General features: G+C 43.8%; 1 protein-coding gene and 1 pseudogene across 1 annotated transcript; both read right to left on the bottom strand.

Annotated features, from left to right (window-relative positions):
- Window positions 2,170–2,273, bottom strand: RNU6-1036P (RNA, U6 small nuclear 1036, pseudogene; annotated as a pseudogene).
- Window positions 2,827–20,708, bottom strand: BTNL3 (butyrophilin like 3). Its single transcript, NM_197975.3, has 8 exons — window positions 20,477–20,708; window positions 16,394–16,741; window positions 12,066–12,341; window positions 6,769–6,882; window positions 5,678–5,698; window positions 5,111–5,137; window positions 4,792–4,818; window positions 2,827–4,220 (listed from the first exon to the last, which is right to left on the bottom strand). The coding sequence occupies exons 1-8, from the start codon at window positions 20,523–20,525 to the stop codon at window positions 3,682–3,684; spliced, it is 1,401 nt and encodes a 466-aa protein (NP_932079.1). The 5' UTR covers window positions 20,526–20,708; the 3' UTR covers window positions 2,827–3,681.
- Window positions 20,709–20,993: the final 285 nt, after the last annotated feature.

Here is a 20,993-nt window from a genome sequence, read left to right as displayed (position 1 = left end):
CATAGGTTTGGTCTTTTCACATACTCCCATATTTCTTGGAGGCTTTGTTTGTTCCTTTTCATTCTTTTTCTCTAATCTTGTCTTCATGCCCTATTTCAGTAAGTTGTTCTTCAGTCTCTCACATCCTTTCTTCCTCTTGATCGATTCGGCTATTGATACTTGTGTATGCTTCACGAAGTTCTCGTGCTGTCTTTTTCAGCTCCATGAGGTCATTTATGTTCTCCTCTAAACTGGTTATCCTAGTTAGCCATTCCTATAACCTTGTCAACGTTCTTAGCTTCCTTGCATTTGGCTAGAACATGCTCCCTTACCTCAGAGGAGTTTGTTATTACCCATATGCTGAAGCCTACTTCTGTCAATTTGGCAATTCTTTCAAACTCATTTTCTGTCCAGTTTTGTGCCCTTACTAGACAGGAGTTATGATCATTTGGGGAAGAGGCATTCTGATTTTTGAAATTTCCAGCATTTTTAAGCTGGTTTTTCCTCATCTTTGTGGATTTATCTACCTTTGATCTTTGAGGCTGATGACCTGTGGTTGGGGTTTTTGTGTGGGGATCCTTTTGTTGATGTTGATGTTACTGCTTTCTGTTTGTTAGTTTTTCTTCTAACAGTCAGACCCCTTTTCTGCAGGTCTGCTGCAGTTTGCTGGAGGTCCACTCCAGACCCTATTTGCCTGGGTATAACCAGTGGAGGCTGCAGAACAGCAAAGATTGCTGCCTGCTCCTTCCTCTGGAAGCTTCATCTTAGAGGGGCACCAGCCTGATGCCAACCAGAGCTCTCCTGTATGAGGTGTCTGTCAACCCCTGTTGGGAGGTCTCTCCCCGTCAGGTGACACAGGGGTCAGGGACCCACTTGAGGAGGCAGTCTGTCCCTTAGCAGAGCTCGAGTGCTGTGCTGGGAGAGCCCTCCTTGTCAGCATCTGCTGCTCTCTGCAGAGCCAGCAGGCAGGAACGTTTAAGTCCACTGAAGCTGCACCCACAGCCGCCCCTTCCCCCAGGTGCTCTGTCCAAGGGAGTTGGGACTTTTATCTATAAGCCCCTGACTGGGACTGCTGCCTTTCTTTCAGAGATGCCCTGCCCAGTGAGGAGGAATCTAGAGAGGCAGTCTGGCCACAGCCTCTTTGCCGTGCTGTGTTGAGTTCCGCCCAGTCCGAACTTCCAGGCCTCCTTAGCACTGTCAGGGGAAAACCACCTATTCAAGCCCCAGTAATGACAGATGCCCCTCCCCCAACCAAGCTCCAGGTCAGCTCCAGACTACTGTGCTGGCAGCAGGAATTTCAAGCCAGTGGCTCTTAGCTTGCTGGGCTCCGTGGGAGTGGGACCCGCTGAGTGAGCCCACTTGGCTCCCTAGCTTCAGCCCCCTTTCCAGGGGGTGAACAGTTCTGTCTTGCTGTGGTTCCAGGCGCCACTAGGGTATAAAAAAACACTCCTGCAGCTGGCTCAGTGTCTGCCCAAACAGCCACCCAGTTTTGTGCTTGAAACCCAGGGCCCTGGTGGTGTAGTCACATGAGGGACTCTCCTGTTCTGTGGATTGCAAAAACCGTGGGAAACGCGTAGTGTCTGGGCCAGATAGCACAGTCCCTCACAGCTTCCCTTGGCTGGTGGAGGGAGGCCCCCCACTCCTTGCACTTCCTGGGTTGAGGCAACACCCCGCCCTGCTTCTGCCTGCCTTCCATGGGCTGCACCCACTGCCTAACCAGTCCCAATGAGATGAACAGGGTACCTCAGTTGGAAATGCAGAAATCCCCTGCCTTCTGCATTGGTCTCGCTGGCAGGCCAGAGCGTTCCTATTCAGACATCTTGCCAGATCCTTCCCATGTTTTTCTTTTCTTTTCTTTTCTTTTTTTTTTTTTTTTGAGACGGAGTCTCGCTCTGTTGCCCAGGTTGGAGTGCAGTGGCGCCATCTCGGCTCACTGCAAGCTCCGCCCCCTGGGTTCACGCCATTCTCCTGCCTCAGCCTCCCGAGTAGCTGGGACTACAGGTGTCCACCACCATGCCCAGCTAATTTTTTGTATTTTTAGTAGAGACGGGGTTTCATCATGTTAGCCAGGATGGTCTCAGTCTCCTGACCTTGTGATCCACCCACCTCGGCCTCCCAAAGTGCTGGGATTACAGGCGTGAGCCACCACGCCCAGCCCTCCAATGTTTTTCTTTATCATAAAATTAAATTTAAAATATGGAACACTTCATGAATTTGCATGTCCTCCTTGTGCAGGGGCCACGCTAATCTCTGTATCATTCCAATTTTACTAAACGTGCTGCCAAAGCAAGCACTACTTGTAATAATTTCTGTGAGATTTAATGATTTTGTGTGTATAACAATATTCTTTTTTATTTCCGAGTAGCACTTTATTTGCATGGATATATCATAATTTGTTATCAATTGGTGAGCTTTGTGTTGTTTTCAAATTTTGGCTATTACAAATAAAGCTGCTATGAACATTCACAGATTTCCTTTTCTCTTGGAAAAATAATTAGAAGGCCATGCTGGATCATATGGTTAGTGACTGTTGAACTTTTAAAGGAACTACTGAACTGTTTTCCAAAGTGACCATATTATTTGACAGTCCCATGAGCAGTGTATGAGAATTCCTTCCCTCCACATCCTCACCAACACTTGCTATTGTCAGTCTTTGTAATTTTAGCCACTTTAATAGATGGTAATGGTATCTTGCTGTGGTTTTAGTTTGCATTTTCTTAGTGTTTAATGACATTAAGTATCTCTTCCTGTGCTTATTTTTCATCTATGTATCTTCCTTGTTGACAGGTTTTATCAGTAATGATGGTGGCTTTATGAAACTTTTTTTCTGCATCGTTGAAATGATCATATGGTTTTCTTTTTTACTTTATTAATGTGCTGAATTACACTGGTTGATATTTAAATATTAAACCAACTCTGCATTTGTGGGACAAACCACACTGAGTAGTTATATATCATCTTTAAATATATTGTTTAGTTTAATTTGTTAAAATTTTATTTAGAATTTTTGTGTCTGTGTTAATGAGGGATATGGACCTGTAGTTTTCCTTCCTCTTCTTCTGTTTTCTTTGCCTGGTTTTGGTATCAGGTAATGCTGGGCTTATAGAATCAGTGAAAAATCCTACCTCCTCTTTATTCTTTGAGCCTCACAAAGCAGGTGTTCAATAACTATTCCATGGGTGATTTGGTATAGAGAAAAGTAAATTAATGTGGAATAAGCAAACAGAGTTTATGGTGGGAAAATGTATAATATAAAAACACATCATTAGCAAACACTGTGCCCTCAAACCTGCAAGCATGATTCACATTCGTTGTCTCTTTAATCTTCACCTGTGAGGCAGGAATCACTGTCCGTGACTAGCAAATGAGGAGCCTGGGAGGTTGTGACTTGTTCAAGATCGCTTAGCTGGATGGAGTTTTCACAAACTAAACCTAATGTGAGTCTATTCCGTCCCCACTTCAGGGCAGCCATGGCTTCTGACTCCCACAGGGTCAGGCCAATCCCCCCTCATCTGGAAGCTGTGACTGCCGCTGCTGCAGGGCTCAGGGCAGAAGAACCTCAGCTCCCTAAAGGAGAGTGGGGGGCGTGACTCTCTGTGCGCAGGCTCCGGAGAGGAAGCTGGGGCCACCTGTCGGGAGCACTCTCCCTTGGCTGTGTCTGGGTCTGTGGTGTGGGGCCCTTTAAGCAGGGTCTTCTCTGTCTCATCCCCAGGACACTGGACATATGAATATGGGAGTCCCCTTTTCCTCGTCATACATCGCATGCTGGATATAGGGTCTCAACAAGCCTTCAAACTGACATGTCAGCAGGGTATAAATAAGGGACTGGTCATTTGTATTGAAGAAGGAGATGGTCCCACCCTCATAGTCCAGGAAGACCCCTACTCGTGTAGGAGGGGTGCTGGGGGGGAGGCTGATAAAATGGGGATTGAATGTGAAATACAAATGTTCTGTTGTCAGTCTGAGGACCCAATACCCATTGTTGGGAGACAAAGTCACATTGTTCTTCCCCCTGTCTACGTCATCCCGACACACTCCCACATACCACCCTACATTTTGTCCCACGTCCACCTCCCAGTAATGTTTCCCTGCTTGGAAACCCTGAGAAGCCACCACACTCTTCCTTGTAAATCTCTTCTCAGAGTGAGGCACCTCCTGGGGAGCTTTTCTATGGGTTACAGTTTTCAGATCAGAAACGCAGAGCTTCGGGTGAGCCGTCTCTGGATCCAGAGTCACCTCCACTGGGGTGCGGTGGGGGAGAGAGGAAGCATGAGTTACTGAAGACGAAATCTGGGCTGGAGCAAGAGGTCGACCCTCCCACTGCAGACTGGCTCCGGGTAGGATCCGGCCAGTCCCACTATCCCACCAGCCATGTACCTTCTCCAGGGCAGCCCCCGTGCCTCACTGATGCTTGGAGATGCTCAACCATGAGATGTTCACCCAGCCCTACCACTGCCCTCCCACGTAAGCCCTCTATTTGACTTTGTGAGACCTTGAGTGACTCCAGGATTCAGCTTCCTTCCACCCACCAGTTCCTGCTAACTTCACTTAGTTCCCCTTTGCACAGACCCCTAGAAGCCAGCTACTAATGCCCTCAGTTCCCTGGCGTCTTGCCTGTGACCCCTCCTAGCTGACCCAGTCCCTACGCTTTTCCCTCCAAGTCCTGGGCCAAGAAGTGTATTTAGAGGCAGCTGCACCCTGGGGTGGATTCGGGCATCACAGATTTGCTGTCTACAAGCTGGATGGGCTCCATATCTGTCACTGGTCATCTTCCTACTCCATGCCCACTGTTACCCTCTCAGGCGTTGGTACCTGCGTGTTTCCGGGCGTCTCTCAATTCTGAAAGCAAGCAGAGAGAGCAGGCAGTTCCGTGCTCACGTGGGAAACAGGGCGCAGGGAGAAGGGAAAGACCAAGGATTGGGACCCTTTTTGAGTGTTGTGGACCCTCCAGAGATCTGAAGAAGGCTATGGGGCTTCTCTACAAAATGCACCTCCCCCAGAATCTGCAATTTCAGAGTTCCCATCACAAGCTTGGCTCTGCAGGGACCCACGGGCCTCAGGATATAAAAATCCATAAACGAGAGACTTGGAAAGGAGTCATAAATGTGTGAAGAGGAATATTTTCTTTTACCTGCCTGTCCGTGCTTTCTTCTCCAGTCTGAAAAACAAAAACAAAAACAAAAAACATGTAAGAGGCTGACGTCACAGAGCGGGGGCCCAGGGAGGGCGTGGGAGGGAATCCCTGCGAGTGGTAACACTCTCACCCAGTTTATCCTGGAGTTCCCACAAAACAAAAAGCAGACTATTTAGTGGTTGATACAGAACTGGATAAAGTCTCAAAGCATCAGGCCAGGGGAGGTCGAGGATCACCCACAAATTTTTCTCAGGTTCCTCACTGTGGCCCAGACACCCTCAGAGCTCATGATCAACACCTCCCCCCACCACACACACAGCAAACCAACGGGCAACAGGCACAGACAATTTGTGGGGACTTCCAGGCCCCGGGGCCTATCCTAAGCCCTCCAGATGTCCGAGGGGTAACTCATGAGCAGTGGATGGAGAGAGTGAGCAGCTGCTCCCCTCCACCTGCCGGTGCTTCCTGTCCAGCCTGCAGCCAGGGTCGTCCAGAGGCTCAAACTGTGGATCAGGGAGGGACCCGGGAGAACCATGTGTGGGAGGCTCAGGACATGACACATACCCAGTTCCGCCTGGATTTTCCCTGAAACAGAAACAGTATATTCAGTGGTGGACACAGGAGTGTGCAAGGTACAAACACGACGCTGGCTCCTTGCACAGGTGGGACGAGCTGCAGGTGTGAAGGGCAGGGCCTCTCCTAGGACACTTATATGTGCTCGTCTCCCCAGCCCCTGCACGGAGTGTGGCTCTCTGGGGTGGAGCAAGAGATCAGGAAGGTGCATGCTAAGGAGAGGGACAACAGCTGGGATGCTGTGGAGGTGGGGATGGAGATGGGAGAAGGCGGCTGGGAGGGGAGGCGGGGGTGGCCTCACCCCCAAGGGGAAGTGTCACTCCCAAGGAGGAGGAAATTTGTTCTAGGGTGAAGACTCTTACTGAGATTATCATTTTATCTCAGTCAGTCAGTTTTATTTCCTCTTCTATGAAGTCTTTGCAACCACCCTGAAATTTTCTTATTGTCTCTTGTTGTCGTTAGTAGAAATTTATTTATTTTTATATATTTATTTATTGAGTCAGGGTCTCACTCTGTTGCCCAGGCTGATGTGCAGTGGTGCGAACATGGCTCACTAAAGCCTTGACCTCCTGTGCTCAAGCCATCCTCCCATCTCAACCTCCTAAGTAGCTGGGACCACAGTCACGCACCACCACACCCAGCTAATTATTTTATTTTATTTTTTAAAAATTTTTTGTAGAGAGGAGTTCTCGCCATGTTGCCCAGGATGGTCTTACACTCCTGGGCTCAAGTGATCCTCCCACATCGGCCTCCCAAAGTGCTGGGATTACAGACACGAGCCACGGCACTCAGCCTGTTGGTAGAAATTTATGTGAACTCTTTATGTACTGAAAATCAATTATCTGCTTATCCTGTGCTCCATGTAAAGTAGAAAGGGATTGGCAGAGGCTGGCATTTTCTGAAGGAGCCATTTCAGGCCAGCACAGAGGAGGCTGAAGACTGGGTTCCCTGTGCCTCAGCTGGTGGCCCCTGTAGGCCTAGGGCTGGAAGAGCAGAGCCCAGAGGTGTGTGAGGGCAGCCTGATATCAGCTCCACTGGAACCATGAAGAAGGTATGGGCCCATGCTTCTCTCTCTCACTTACCTTTGGATTTGAAGAAAACAATTATCATCCCCATGACAACACCACACAGGGCACCACAGAGTAACCCGAGTAAAATAGAAGCCAGGCGCCAAGGTGAGGGCTGGAAAAACGTCTCTGAAAAACAGTCCCACAGACCCTTAGTGATAGCTAAGCAGGTAAGACAATTTTACGCCCATTTAAGGAATCCCCCAGTACCCCAAGATGAAAACATTTTTCTCTCATTTCTTCCACAGATTTAAAGCTTTGCATTTCTATAAACATCTTGATCCATCCGGATTTCATATATATATATATATATATATATATATATATATTCACGTGTGTGTGTGTGTGCGCGTTAAAGCTTTGCATTTCTTTATAAGTCTTGATCCATCTGGATTTCATATATATATATATATATATATATATACACACACACGTGTGTGTGTGTGTGTGTGTGTCTATGTCTAATGAGGCAGAAGTTCAATGTCATCTTCTTCTAAGCAGGTGTTGACTGTGCTGGCAATGTTTGTTGAGTGGACCTTGCTTTACACACTGCCACACATGCAAGGTCACCTCTGTGTACCTCATGTTCAAGCTTGGATTTGTTTCTGGGCTCTTTGTTCTCTCTCATTGATCCATAGGGTTATCTCTGTGCCAATAATTTTAATTGGCTTAATCTTCAAAGCTTTGGGATATGTCTCTGAGATAAGACTAAGCTTCTTAGCTTGCTCTTATTCCACTGTATCTTAGCAATTCTTGGCTATTTGTTTTGCCACATAAACTTTGGAATTGACTTGTTAGGCTTTAAGAAAACTCTGGGCCAGGTGCAGTGGCTCATGCCTATAAACCCAGCAGTTTGGGAGGCCAAAGTGGGAGGATTTCTTTTTTTTTTTAAAGGTAATGTTTATTCTTTTCTCCTTTAGATTTCTTTGTTTTGTTTTGTTTTGTTTTGTTTTGTTGAGACAGAGTCTCGCTCTGTTGCCCAGGGAGGAGTGCAGTGGCGCGATCTCGGCTCACTGCAACCTCTGCCTCCCGGGTTCACGCCATTCTCCTTCCTCAGCCTCCTGAGTGGCTGGGACTACAGGCGCCCGCCACCACGCCTAGCTAATTTTTTGTATTTTTAGTAGAGATGGGGTTTCACCATGTTAGCCAGGATGGTCTCGATCTCCTAACCTCGTGATCCTCCCGTCTCGGCCTCCCAAAGTGCTGGGATTACAGGCATGAGCCACCGCGCCTGGCCGGGAGGATTTCTTAAGGACAGGAGTTCGAGACCAGTCTAGGCAACAAAGTGAGACCCCCCCCCATCTATAAAAATATTTAAAATTAAAAAAAATTAGCCAGGCATGGTGGTGCACACCTGTGGTCCCAGCTACTTGGGAGGCTGAGGTGGGAGGATTGCTTGAGCATGGGAAATTGAGGTTGCAATGAGCCATGATTGCACCACTATACTCCAGCATGGGTGACAGAGTGACAGCTCATCTCAAAAAACAAACAAACCAAAAAATGTGCTGAGATTTTTCTATGGAATTGTATTGAATCTGTACAGCAATTCTAGGAGAACTGGTATCTTTAAAAACATGCATCTTCTTATCTGAAAGGTGTTATGTTTGTTCTCTTATTTTAGTTTTCATTAGTGTCTTTTAATACAGTTTTATAATACCCTTCAATAAGATTTTGTAAACATTTTATTAGATTTTGTTTATTCCTCTCATTTTTCATGAACACGATGGATTCCTTTATGAGTTGAAAGAATTTGTCTGTAAATTTTTCTAAATTTTCCGTTTATATCATCATATAAACTGTGAACAATGGCCATTTAATTTTTTTCTTTCTAAAAGTTATAACTTTTACATTTTCTTCCCTTATTGAAGTGGCTGCTAATAGTAACAGTACTCTAATATAATGTGGAACAGAAGTGTTTAATGCAATCTCCTTATGTTATGATTTTATTTTATTTTATTTTATTTTTTTATTTTATTTTATTTTTTTTTGAGACGGAGTCTCGCTCTGTCGCCCAGGCCGGACTGCGGACTGCAGTGGCGCAATCTCGGCTCACTGCAAGCTCCGCTTCCCGGGTTCACGCCATTCTCCTGCCTCAGCCTCCCGAGTAGCTGGGACTACAGGCGCCCGCCACCGCGCCCGGCTAATTTTTTGTATTTTTAGTAGAGACGGGGTTTCACCTTGTTAGCCAGGATGGTCTCGATCTCCTGACCTCATGATCCACCTGCCTCGGCCTCCCAAAGTGCTGGGATTACAGGCGTGAGCCACCGCGCCCGGCCTATGTTATGATTTTAAATGACACATTATGTATAATGTTTTCGGTATGTATTTAAAAAATTAGGTGGCTTATTATTTTGTATGATGTTTGCTGCAAGTATCTTTAGATATCTTTTTATCAGATTAAGCAGAGTCTCTCCTATTTCTAGATTGATAAAAAAAATTTTCTTCTATTTCTAGATTTGCAAGTGTTGAAATCATGATGAATAGATGTAGAAAGTTATCTGTTTTATTTACATCTACTAAGAAAATTATAGTTTATCTCTTTTAACGAATTATGTTATAATTACATTAATATATGTTCCCATGTTGACCTAACATTTTTTTCCAGGATAAGTTTGGTCATGATATATGTTTTTGTGGACTTTTCTACTTGCAAAATTTTTGGTAAGATTTTTACATTTTCAATTATGAGTAATGTTGGTAAAAATTTTTCCTTTTTTGAATTGCCCATTTCTCTTATGATACCAAAATTATGTTGACTCAATAAAATGAGTTTAATATTTCCTATTTTTCTGCTCTCTGGCCGACTTTCTGAAAGATACATTTTCTCTTTTCTTGAATATTTGGTAGACTTTGTATATAAAACAATGTGGGCCTTGTGTCTTCCTTGTGGGAAGACTTTTAAATGCTGAGTCCACCTCTTTCATGGTTACAAATTAGTCAGGTAGTCTATCTTTCCTTCGGATTTTGTATTTTACGTTTTTCTTCTTTTTTAAAAATTTTTGAGACAAAGTCTCACTCTGTCCCCCAGGCTGGAGTACAGTGGGGCGATCTCAGCTCACTGCAATCTCTGTCTCCTGGATTTAAGTGATTCTCCAGCCTCAGCCTCCAGAGTAGCTGGGATTACAGACACACACCACCACGCCCAGCTAATTTTTGTATTTTTAGTAGAGATGGGGTTTCGCCATGTTGGGCAGGCTGGTCTCAAACTCCTGACCTCAAGCGATCTGCCCGCCTCAGCCTTCCACACTGCTGGGACTACAGGCATGAGCCACTGCGCCTGTCCTGTATTTTACATTTTTCTATGAAAACTTTCACTTCATCATATTCAATAGAAAAGGAAAAAGTTATTCAAAGCAGTTTATCTTACAAATCTCTACTAAATCTTTAGTTGTGCCTTCTTGTTATTTCCTGCCTTGTTTAATTGTGCTGTTTCTCTTTTATTCTTAACTGATGTTGCCAGTTTATCTATTTTAATAACACTTCGAACCGTCTAACTTTAGATGTATTAATGTGCACTATTTGTCTTTATATTTCCATATTTCTATATCTTTAGGATTTCTTCCACTTTCTTTTGCTGTTTTCTGAAATATATATTGATGCCTAATATCAATATTCAGCTATTTCATGCTAATAAGAACATTTAAGCATTAAAGGATATATATATATATATTTTTGAGATGGAGTCTTGCTCTATCGCCCAGGCTGGAGTGCAGTGGCATGATCTCGGCTCACCGCAACCTCCGCCTCCCGGGTTCAAGCAATTCTCCTGCCTCAGCTTCCCAGGTAGCTGGGATTACAGGCACCCGCCACCACACCCGGCTAATTTTTGTATTTTTAGTAGAGACGGGGTTTCACCATTATGGCCAGGCTGGTCTTGAACTCCTGACCTCAGGTGATCCGCCTGTCTTGGCCTTCCAAAGTGCTGGGATTACAGGCGTGAGCCACTGCGCCCGGCCAGATAAAATTTTGACTCAGAAAACTATATTAGTTCTATTTTACACATTATGATAGATTGTAATTTTATTATCATTCAGTTTTAAGAATTTTCTACCTATCACTATGCTTTCTTCAATTTCTCAGTTATTTTAATGTTTAAAAATTTTTCAAACACATAAGAATTTAAACTATCTTTTGCTGTGGTCATTTGACTTTATTAAATTATGATTAGAGAATTTCATGTGCATGATATCTATGTCTGAAAATTTTCTTAAAACCATTGTATGTGTTTATATCTGGTAAAATTTTATAAAAGTTCCAAGTGTGGTAAAAATTAATGTATATTCTACAAACCTGGAGTGCCATCTCCAAAAATACGTTATTTCAGACTTATTAATTTTTAGTTCAAATAGTATATATTCTTACTCATTTTGTCTACTTATTTAATCAATTTTAGAACTCGAAGTATGACCTTTTTTCTTATTTCTGTTGATATTTTCTATGTTTTACATGTATAAGGTACATGTATATATATTTAAAATTTTCATATTCTTATACTGAGTGAACTTATGTTTTTGAAATAACTCTATCCCTAATGCCCTTTTTCTTACAACTTTGTCTTCCTTTTCTTGACACTAATATATCTGTTCAATTCTTCGTGATTAATATTTCTCGAGTATTTTTTATTTTCAATGAATAGCTCATATGTGCTACATTTTTCCTCTTATGAATTGCCATTGAGATTTTTAGTATTTGTCTATTTTTATTTTTATTTTTATTTTTACATTTTTGAGATGGAGTCTTGCTCTGCCACCCAGGCTGGAGCACAGTGGTGCCATCTCGGCTCACTGCAACCTCTGCCTCCTGGGTTCAAGCGATGAGATTTTTAAATCCAGTCTGAGATTCTTTGTCTTTTAACTGGCAAATTCAATCCTTTTAATTGAGTGTGATTCTGGAAGCATTTTAGTTTATGTAAATTTTCCTACTATTTGTAAATCCTTTCTGAAATTTTCTACAGTTTTATTCTGCTTCATGAAGGAGCAACGACGTTTTCTAAAAATGAAGAAACAATTATTTTCTTAGTCCTAGAGTTAATTTCCTTAAGTTTTGTTACGTGTTGAGTTGTGAGTGTTGCACCATGGGGGTATTGTGTGGTGAAGGAAATACTTAATTCTACTGCCTTGAAATTGTAAACTATTCTACTTCTGCCTTATCAAATGTTTGGTTTTGTTTTTTATACCTCATCAATCTTTGACTCTCAAAACAAATCATTGAAGCTGGATGGTACTACACAACAATCCCAGACACAAGCTGCTGCTCTACCCTGGGTTACGTATGCACACACCCATTCCTTGCTCCTCCTTCTCCCCACTCACCTCCTATCAATACCTTGGATTCCACCTCATGACTCTGCTCAGCAAGGTGGATGGAACACAATATGCTCCCAGCATTTTCCTGGACTATAATGGAGATCTCCACATCATACAGGCTGTACCCATCTGCATTTGCTCTGGAGTCTGAAGACAAATCCTGTCCTTGTGGACCTTTCCACTTGGCTGTGGGCTGGGGGAACCAGCCTGAGGACAGGCAGAGTAACTGGATACCTCCGTCAACATATCCCACGATGGAAATGAGAGGAAGTGAGCCCAGTGCTGGGAAGAAAACAGGGAAAGATGAAAGCAAAGACCAAATTTCAAGCTTACAGCATTTTGAGTCTGGTTCATCAAGCCTGTACCCATAACACACATACATCCTTTTCTCTCTCTCTCTCTCTCACACACACACATCCTTTTCTCTCTGTCTCTTACACACACATCTTTTTCTCTCTCTCTCTCTTACACACACATCCACTCATGCTACTACTGCAAGCCCTTCCATGGTCTATGTTCATTCAACATTTATTTAGCAGCCACTATATATGCCTGGATATTCCTAAGTATGAAATAGGATGCAGTGAATAAGACACAGCCCCTTCTAATGAGAAACTCATTGATCAAATAGTGAGGAAACTGTATAAAATACATTTCATAGTGAAATGGCAACTATGAAAGCATGGTCAGGTTAGCACAGAGAAGAGTGCTTAACTGTCAGGGAAAGGCACAGCTTCCTGGAGATGACATTTGCACCCTTCTGTGTCAGAAAATAGGAGTTTTGTTGTGGTCAGGTCTGGGAGAGGGGAAGCATTTTAGACAAAAAGAGGCAAGTACAAACCACAATGTGAAAAGTTAACATGCCACAGTGATTTCAAGGACTCATGAATATTTATATTCCAGATGATGTATAAGAGAGTAGGGGTGTGAGACAAGATCTGAAAAAGGCACAAGGCAAGCCGTGGAGGTCATACCTTCACTGACCTGAGCAACGTGGACTTGCCCACAGCCACTTTAAGAACTGTAGACCAGTAAGGCTCTTACCAGCTTCCAGCAGGTGGGAGTTATGGCAAGGCCTGTATGTTAGAGAGGTCTCCAGGCAGCAGCATGGAGGAGGGACCATAGAGAACACTCCGGAGGAGAGTGACCCGCCATGCAACTACTGAAGTGACTCCAGTGAGAGAAAAGAAGGGCTGGGGAGGAGGAGGGCTCTGAGAAGGGGAACGGCAGGTGCAGAATCTATTTGAGAGGTTGAATCAATAGGACTGAACATCAAGGAAGGGTTTATTGTGACATTCAGATTTGTGACTTGGGAAATATGCAAAAGTACCTCTTATGTGGTTGACTTCAATTTTATGATTTAATATTGCCTTTTAACCACTCCAAACAGAACTTCCTCTCTGAGTGTTGTACTCTGTCATTCCCTAGGGTCTGGATCAGTGCATGGAGCCTAATAAATGTTTGTTAGTCAATAAATTAATGAAAGAATGATGGTGGTGTAAGCACCAAGGAAGGGGGCTCAAGTAAGATGATGTAGACTTCTCTTCCTTGCTCCTTTCTCTAAGTAAAATCATAAACCCTAGAAATGCGGCAAGCATAGGTGCATTTTGAAAAGTGGAAAGACTAAGGAGGACTGACTAGGGACCCCAGGAGTAGAAAAAAAACACAGCAGCTGAGCATCCTATGACCACTCCCCCACTCCCACCTCCAGCAGAAGTAGGTGGCCCAGCGGGAATCTTTCCACCCCTAAATGGCTGAAAATACATGATATACAAAGTGGTGCTGGCAAAAGAATTGATCATAAGCCCCATTGACTGGAGACCAGGGGAAGAGTACTTTTTCCCACTATGCCAGATGATCACCTCTCTCACAAGAAACAGTGAGGAGCAACATGGGAAAACACCTTTTACTGCCACAGTTAGTACTAGAAAGGATGAGCAGAATCTCCAGTGACATCAGTTAAGCAAAGTAGACCAAAATAACACAGTAAAGTCTCTGAAAATTAAATTGTATTTGGAGCCACAACCACCAAAAATAGACTAGGACCTGAGTCATAAATCTAAACATGGTGACTGCCTGCAAAACAGAAGCTTTACATAGGGTCTAGAGTATCTTACAATAGTTAAACCATTTAGATTTCAACTAAAAATTACCCATCATACCAAGAACCAATTAAATATCAACTTGAATGAAAATAGACAATCATGTGATTGCCAAGACCAACATGAATAGCTATTATTAAAATGTTTCAAAAAGCAATTATGAATTCTCTCAAAAAATTTAAAAAACAAAAACCATAGATGTTATAAAAAACAAATCAGAAGTAATATAACAGAAAAAAATGCAAAAACAAAAACTAACTGGGTAGCTTCAATGCTAGAGTGGAGATGACAGAAAATAAAATTATTGGCCTGGCATGGTGGCTCAGGCCTGTAATCCCAGCACTTTGGGAGGCCAAGGCGGGTGGATCATGAGATCAGGAGATCAAGACCATCCTGGTTAACACGGTGAAACCCCGTCTCTACTAAAAATACAAAAAAAATTAGCCGGGCGTGGTGGCAGGTGCCTGTAGTTCCAGCTACTCCGGAGGCTGAGGCAGGAGAATGGCGTGAACCCGGAAGGCAGAGCTTGCAGTGAGCGAGATTGCACCACTGCACTCTATCCAGCCTGGGCGACAGAGCGAGACTCCATCTCATAAAAAAAAAAAAAAAATTATTGAACTCCAGGATACAACAATGAAACTTAACCAGCATGAAAAGAGAGGAAAATATTTTTTTAAAGGGAAAAACAGATCCTCAAGGACCTATGAGACAATAACAAAATATCAACATTTATATCATCATAGTCCCAGAAGGAGAGGAGAAAGAGAGAGAGCTGAAAGAGTATTTAAAGAAATGATGGCTGATCTAATCAAATGAGGTGAAAGTCATGAAACTACAGATTCAAGAAGCTGAGAGCACACCAAATAGGAGAAATGTAAAGAAACCCATGCCTTGATAGATCATAATTAAATTTCTGAAAATAAAGAAAACACCAATGACAGCAGATTTTTCGTGAGAAATCTTCAAGGCCAGAAAGAAGTAGCACATTTTTCAACTGCTGAAAGAAAATAACCATCAAGAAACTCAGAAATTCTATATCTGGCAAAACCATTATTCACAAATAAAGAGGAAATCTTTTGCATATTTATTCTCAGATAAACAAAAACTAAGAGAATTTGTCACTAGCAGACCTATCCTAAAAGGATGGCTGGAGGAAATTCTTCAAACAGAAAGGAAATGATAAAAGAAAGAATCTTGGAATATTAGGAAAGAAGAAAAGCAATAGAAAAAGAAGAATAAGGAAAACTACAATAGATTTTCCATTTTATTAGTGTTTAACAATCACATATGTGCTGGGTGTGGTGGCTCACACCTGTAATCCCAGCATTTTGGGAGCCCAAGGCAGGGGATCATTTGAGGCCAGGAGTTTGAGACCAGCTGGCCAACATGGCAGAACCCCATCTCTACTAAAAATACAAAAAAAAATTAGCTGGGTGTGGTGGCGCATGCCTGTAATCTGAGCTACTCAGGAGGCTGAGGTACAAGAGTCACTTGAATCCAGGAGGTGGAGGTTGCAGTGAGCTGAGATCACACCACTGCACTCCAGCCTGGGTGACGGGACAAGACTGTCTCAAAGAAAAATAAAAAATAAAAAATAAAAATGAAAATTATATATGATGGTTTAAACAGAAATTAAGTCACTATCTGATATAGTGCTTATGTATATAGAAGAAATACTCAAGGCAATGTTATTTTTAAATTGTGGAGTTTGAAGGGCTCTGAATGAAAATGAAGTTTCCACACTTCAAAGTGGTAAAATGTTGATATAGTAGATTGTGATAAATTATATATGAATATCATAACACCTAAAGCAGCACCTAAGAAAACACTACAAAATGTTATACTAAAAAAAGACTAACAATAAGTTGTGATGGAATCCTAAAAAAAGTTTAGTAACACACAAGAAGTCAAGAAAAAAGAAGAAAATAAAAGAAATTGAAATATGACAGGCATTATCACTCTCATTTCACCAACATTGGGAGTGGCTTTCCTCTGTATCCTGTCAGGTGGTGGCAGGTGCAGGTGGCTGTCTTCTGCATCATGATCCCACCTGTGTGATGGCAGGGCCAGGCTCATCTCCAGAAACCTCAGGTCAGTGATCCCCACCGAAGCCTTTTTACATCATGTCAGAATCTGGAAAGTCTGTTTTATTTCATTATCTGAAATACTTTTAAGAGCTGATAATGGTAGCATGACTTTACAAGACAACTCAGTCATAAATAAACAACTGACCTGCCACCCGCAGCTCCCAGGTGGCCTCCTCATCGTAAATCTGGGAACTGAACCAGCACCCATACAGGCCGATGTCCGAGGGAGTGATGTTTTTTAGCCTTAGAGAGACACGCCCCCCTGCAATGGAGTCCTTCACAAACTCAGTTCTCCCTCGATACTGTGGCATCTGCTTAGATTCCCAGTCTTCCCCATCTCTGTAGAGGTGGACCACAGCATGGAACTGATTCCTGAAGAACCGCACTTCCATAGCCTCTGCACTGGTCTCAGGAAAGAGGGAGCAGGAGAACACGGCGTCCTCCCCCACCAAGGCCTGGACAAACTTGCCCGGTCCAGTGACTTGCCACTGTCCTATAGGAGGAAACATAACAGACAACTGAGCAAAATCCACTTGAGTCCTTCTCAGGGCTCTGGTGGGTGGAGAAGTGTGGGGTATGGGGTGGGGGATCCATCAGTCTTCTTTCTAAACCTGATGACTTGCATTTGCACATCTTACACTTGCGAGAATGCTTCCATGTCAGTTACTTCACTCGGTTCTCACACACATCTCATGTGAGATGAGGTGAGGTATGTGCTATCAATATTCCCACATTCAACATGAGGAAACCCTGTCTCTGGGGATGAGTTATTCAGGGGCCTGAGAGGCACCTTCCAAATGCAGACTCCCTGACTGGAGGAGAATCTATCTCCACGTGCTCTCCTCTCTGCCCATCTGCTTAATGAACACTCACACCACCCCCTTTGCATCTTCTATGCTAAAAACCTTTTTTAATGACCCAGGAGGGGAGTAAGTGGCCATAAAATATCGAATTTGGGAAAATTTATTTCCTTCAAATAGATGATTACATCTTGTAAATGTTTTATGGATACAAGAAAGGAATATATATTCTCCGCTGAAGCACATTTATTTGTGCTTCTTTTTTTTAAGTAGACTTCTGCCATATTCTGAAGGACATGGTGTGACACAGTGAGGAGATTTTGTAGTTTTTATTTCAGAGATTTGCCCTTTAGTGCACTGATGTTGTGACATATCTTTTCCATGACACCTACATTTTACTCCAGGTAATAATTTTATGTTTTTCCACTTTATTATTTCGTGCTTGAATAGTACTTCGTCTAGCAAAAGTTTGTCCAAGCCACAGCCTGTGGGCTGCATGAGACTCAGGACGGCTTTGAATACGGTCCAACACAAATTCTTAAACTTTCTTAAAACATTATAAGATTTTTTGTGATTTTTTTTCATTCATTAGTTATCGTTAGTGTTAGTTCTTCTTTCAATATGGCCCAGGGAAGGCAAAAGATTGGACACCCCCACTCTAGTGCTTTATCAACATGGCTTACCTGTTTTGTTTTGTTTGTATTTTCTTGGTACAGCTTTGTCTTGATCTTCACTTGAAACTGTCTTCATCTTGCTGCAAGTGACATAACTGTTTGTTTTCTGCGAGCCTTCCCTGCACGACTTTTAGCTTCATGAGGACAGAGTGTGTGTGTTTCCCTCAGCACAGGATTCCCCATGCCCAGCATGGAGAATGGGCTCCACAGACAGGGATTATGCCTAGGAATGGTGAGCGCTACTTTCTTTTTGCATTTGCTTCTTGGTTTTGTGGTCAACTAAGTAATTTTTCTGGTGCAAATCACACTTACAACTCTGTATGATTAGAGTTCTTCTTAGAGAGACCACAAACGATGGAGGCCCACTCCCTTCACCTTCTAAGTACCCACCCCCTTTGATTGGCAGTGTCTCTTGATTCATTCACATGTATCCATTTATGGTATATGGATATATCTGTGTGTGGTATCTGCATGTGCATCAGAGGCAAAGTGGATCCCATGTGTGAATTTCCAGATAAGTGGATATTTTTAATTTTAGCACTAATTATTTCTAAGTTTAAGTACATTTTATAAATCTTGCTGAAATGTATTTCACTCATGCATCTTTAAGAGCATTATTAAGTGAGGCGTGACTTTGCAGCCTGGTGTCAGACCAGCTGCTGACCTGGTGTAGCAGATGTTGAGGCCCTGCTCCTCACCACCCAACCCTGAGTCCCCCTGGAATGGGATGGGCACTTGCCTGCCTGCTGACAGCTCCGCCCCTGGAGCCTGGCCTCTGCCTCTCTGCTGATGGCTTCTTGCAACCTTTGGAACCTCCTCAGCCCAGGCACAGGGTGGCCAAGAAGGTTTGCGATTTTAATAGTCCCGGAGGGGCACATCTCACCCAGTGGGGAACAGGAAGCAGTGGATGTTGGGAAGATCCTGAGCCATCGTCTATACAGTTCCTCCAAAGGACCCAGTGGGACTGGGTCCCAGTTGCCACCGCAGCAACCTGCTCATTAGCGCACCCTCTATGGCTTACCTCCCGCTGGCTTCACTCTCTGCACCCTGTCACTTTTGTTTCTGAGAACAGTCTGCTAAACAAACCACCTGCAGAAAGGCCCTTGCTCTAGATCAGCTTTTGGGACCCAGCCTGTCAGCTGGGCTGCTGTGAGTGCTGCCTTCAAGGCTGTGTGAGACTCTCAAGCCAGGCAAACAGTTTTTAGTATATGTCTGTTTCTCCGGCCAGCCTTGCTGCTGTCATTTGTCTTGCCGACAGCGTCTCCCTTTACTCCTTCCCCTGGGGAGAAGCAAGGAATGACACTGTCTGTTGTCGCAACATACTGTGCCCCAGCGGAGCTCCGTGCTGGACGCTCTACATGCACGAGTTCACGCAATCCACACAGCAGCCCTTCAGCCACAGGAATGTCACAGATGTGATCTTATTATCTCTATGTCATCATAAGCAAAAATTGATGCTAATAGAAGTTATTAGCCACAAGCTCATAGAGAAAAGGAAAGTTTTAAAAATAGTGTTACTTCCTCTAAGGTCATTTCCAGCATGCCCTGCTGCCTCATGCAGAAACAGAAAGCAGACAGAAAGGCTTGTCAGAAAATGGGTGAGAATGTACTTAAACGGAGGCTGTCTTGTGAGTAACATACGTGGATTGTGATTTTTTGTTTTTGTTTTTTTGAGACAAAGTCTCACTCTGTCACCCAGGTTGGAGTGCAGTGGCACGATCTTGGCACACTGCAACCTCCGCCTCCTGGGTTTAAGTGATTCTCGTGCCTCAGCCTCCCGAGTAGCTGGGACTACAGGCGCTCACCACCATGCCCGGCTAATTTTTGTGTTTTTAGTAGAGATGGGGTTTCACCATGTTGGCCAGGCTAGTCTCAAACTCCTGACCTCAGGTGATCCACCCACCTCAGCCTCCCAAAGTGCTGGGATTACAGGTGTGAGCCACCACGCCCTCTGAGCACACATGGATTTTGATCCCCTTATTTCTGTTTTGTTGGCTTTGTTTAGCAAAACAGTCATAGGTAGACAAATAGCAGGATGGAACTGTTCCAGACAGAAAGTGAACACAGTCAAATGAACTTTTTGTGGCTTAACACTGACCACCCAGAATCCAGTGTTCTACTCCAGCCCCTATCTCTCCCTGCAAAATTTATTTGATTACTGAATATCCTATACACCAGGCTTTGTCTTGATGGTTACTAGAAGGAGAAAGAAGAGTGGGTTTCTGCCTAGACTATGCCAGGTTCCAACTTACTCCTCACTTAAAGGTCTGGTGCTCTACCCCATAACTACAGGTGTTTCTAACTCAGCATGTGCATAACTGGACACATTGTCTTTTTCTCCAAACATCCTAAACAGTGCCACCTTCCACCCAGGCACCCAAGTCAAAAACCTGGGGATTTTATTAGAGACTTCCCCTGCCTAAGCCCCACAGCCCACCTGGGGAGAACAATGTGTTTACCTTGGCGTTCTCAATGTGTTCCCTCCCTGCTCCCAGGGCCTGCTCCCATTATTCTGAGCTACTGTGATAGTGCCCAAGTCCTTGAGAAACAGCCCAAGGAGTCTTCCTCAATTCCTGCTGCCCTGTGCTTCCCACAGCTCCTGGCATTGGTAGTTTCCAGCCTGAGGCCAGGAGAAGCTGGAGAATGCAAGCACCAAAGATTCCTGCATCTCACTGTGCTGAGATCATTGTCATGAATGAACTCAAAATATTATTCAACAAGGAGAAAAACAACAGTCCAAACTGAAAGGCTTACCTGACACCAGCTCGTAGAAACTGAGAACCAAAATGAGCACAAAAGCCATGGATATTCCTGTGGGTTGATCTCACACTATGAAAACAGATGACAGCAGGGGTGGATGGATGATTTGGAGGTCAGGCCAGCTGTCTCAGGCGCAGGAGCCGTGGAGAGGCTCTTCATGAACGATGTCAAACTGTGCATTTCTCCCTAGAGCCTCCCTAAACATGGCTGTATGAATGAGGAGTATGGGCACTGGAGTTTGAGTCACTGCATTTATTGGCAGGTCATAAACATCTATCTCAGACCAGAGAAATGATAATGGAAAGAGAGTAGGGTACACTTGGAGGGACTTTGTTCTGGGTTGTGCCCCACATAGGTGGTAAAGGAATGCCAGATGCAGAGATATTTTCAGGCTTAGTCTGGCAGGCAGAGCTGCAAGAGAGAGTGAACATCTGTCCCTGAAAGAGAGATTGGACGGGCGCAGTGGCTCATGCCTGTAATCCCAGCACTTTGGGAAGCCAAGGCAGGTGAA

The sequence above is a fragment of the Homo sapiens genome, chromosome 5 (genome assembly GCF_000001405.40).
Source record: "Homo sapiens chromosome 5, GRCh38.p14 Primary Assembly".
NCBI classification, from domain to species: Eukaryota; Metazoa; Chordata; class Mammalia; order Primates; family Hominidae; genus Homo; species Homo sapiens.
This window is presented reverse-complemented; position numbering and strand designations above follow the sequence as displayed.

Excerpts from the sequence above, each read along its gene's own strand:
- BTNL3 (NM_197975.3), bottom strand. The coding sequence starts at position 20,525 with ATGGCTTTTGTGCTCATTTTGGTTCTCAGTTTCTACGAGCTGGTGTCA. Across the intron at positions 5,138-5,677 it reads GAAAATCCAGGCGGAACTGG|ACTGGAGAAGAAAGCACGGA; the intron begins GTATGTGTCATG and ends TTTGTTTTTCAG. Across the intron at positions 4,221-4,791 it reads AGACGCCCGGAAACACGCAG|TGGAGGTGACTCTGGATCCA; the intron begins GTACCAACGCCT and ends ACCGCACCCCAG.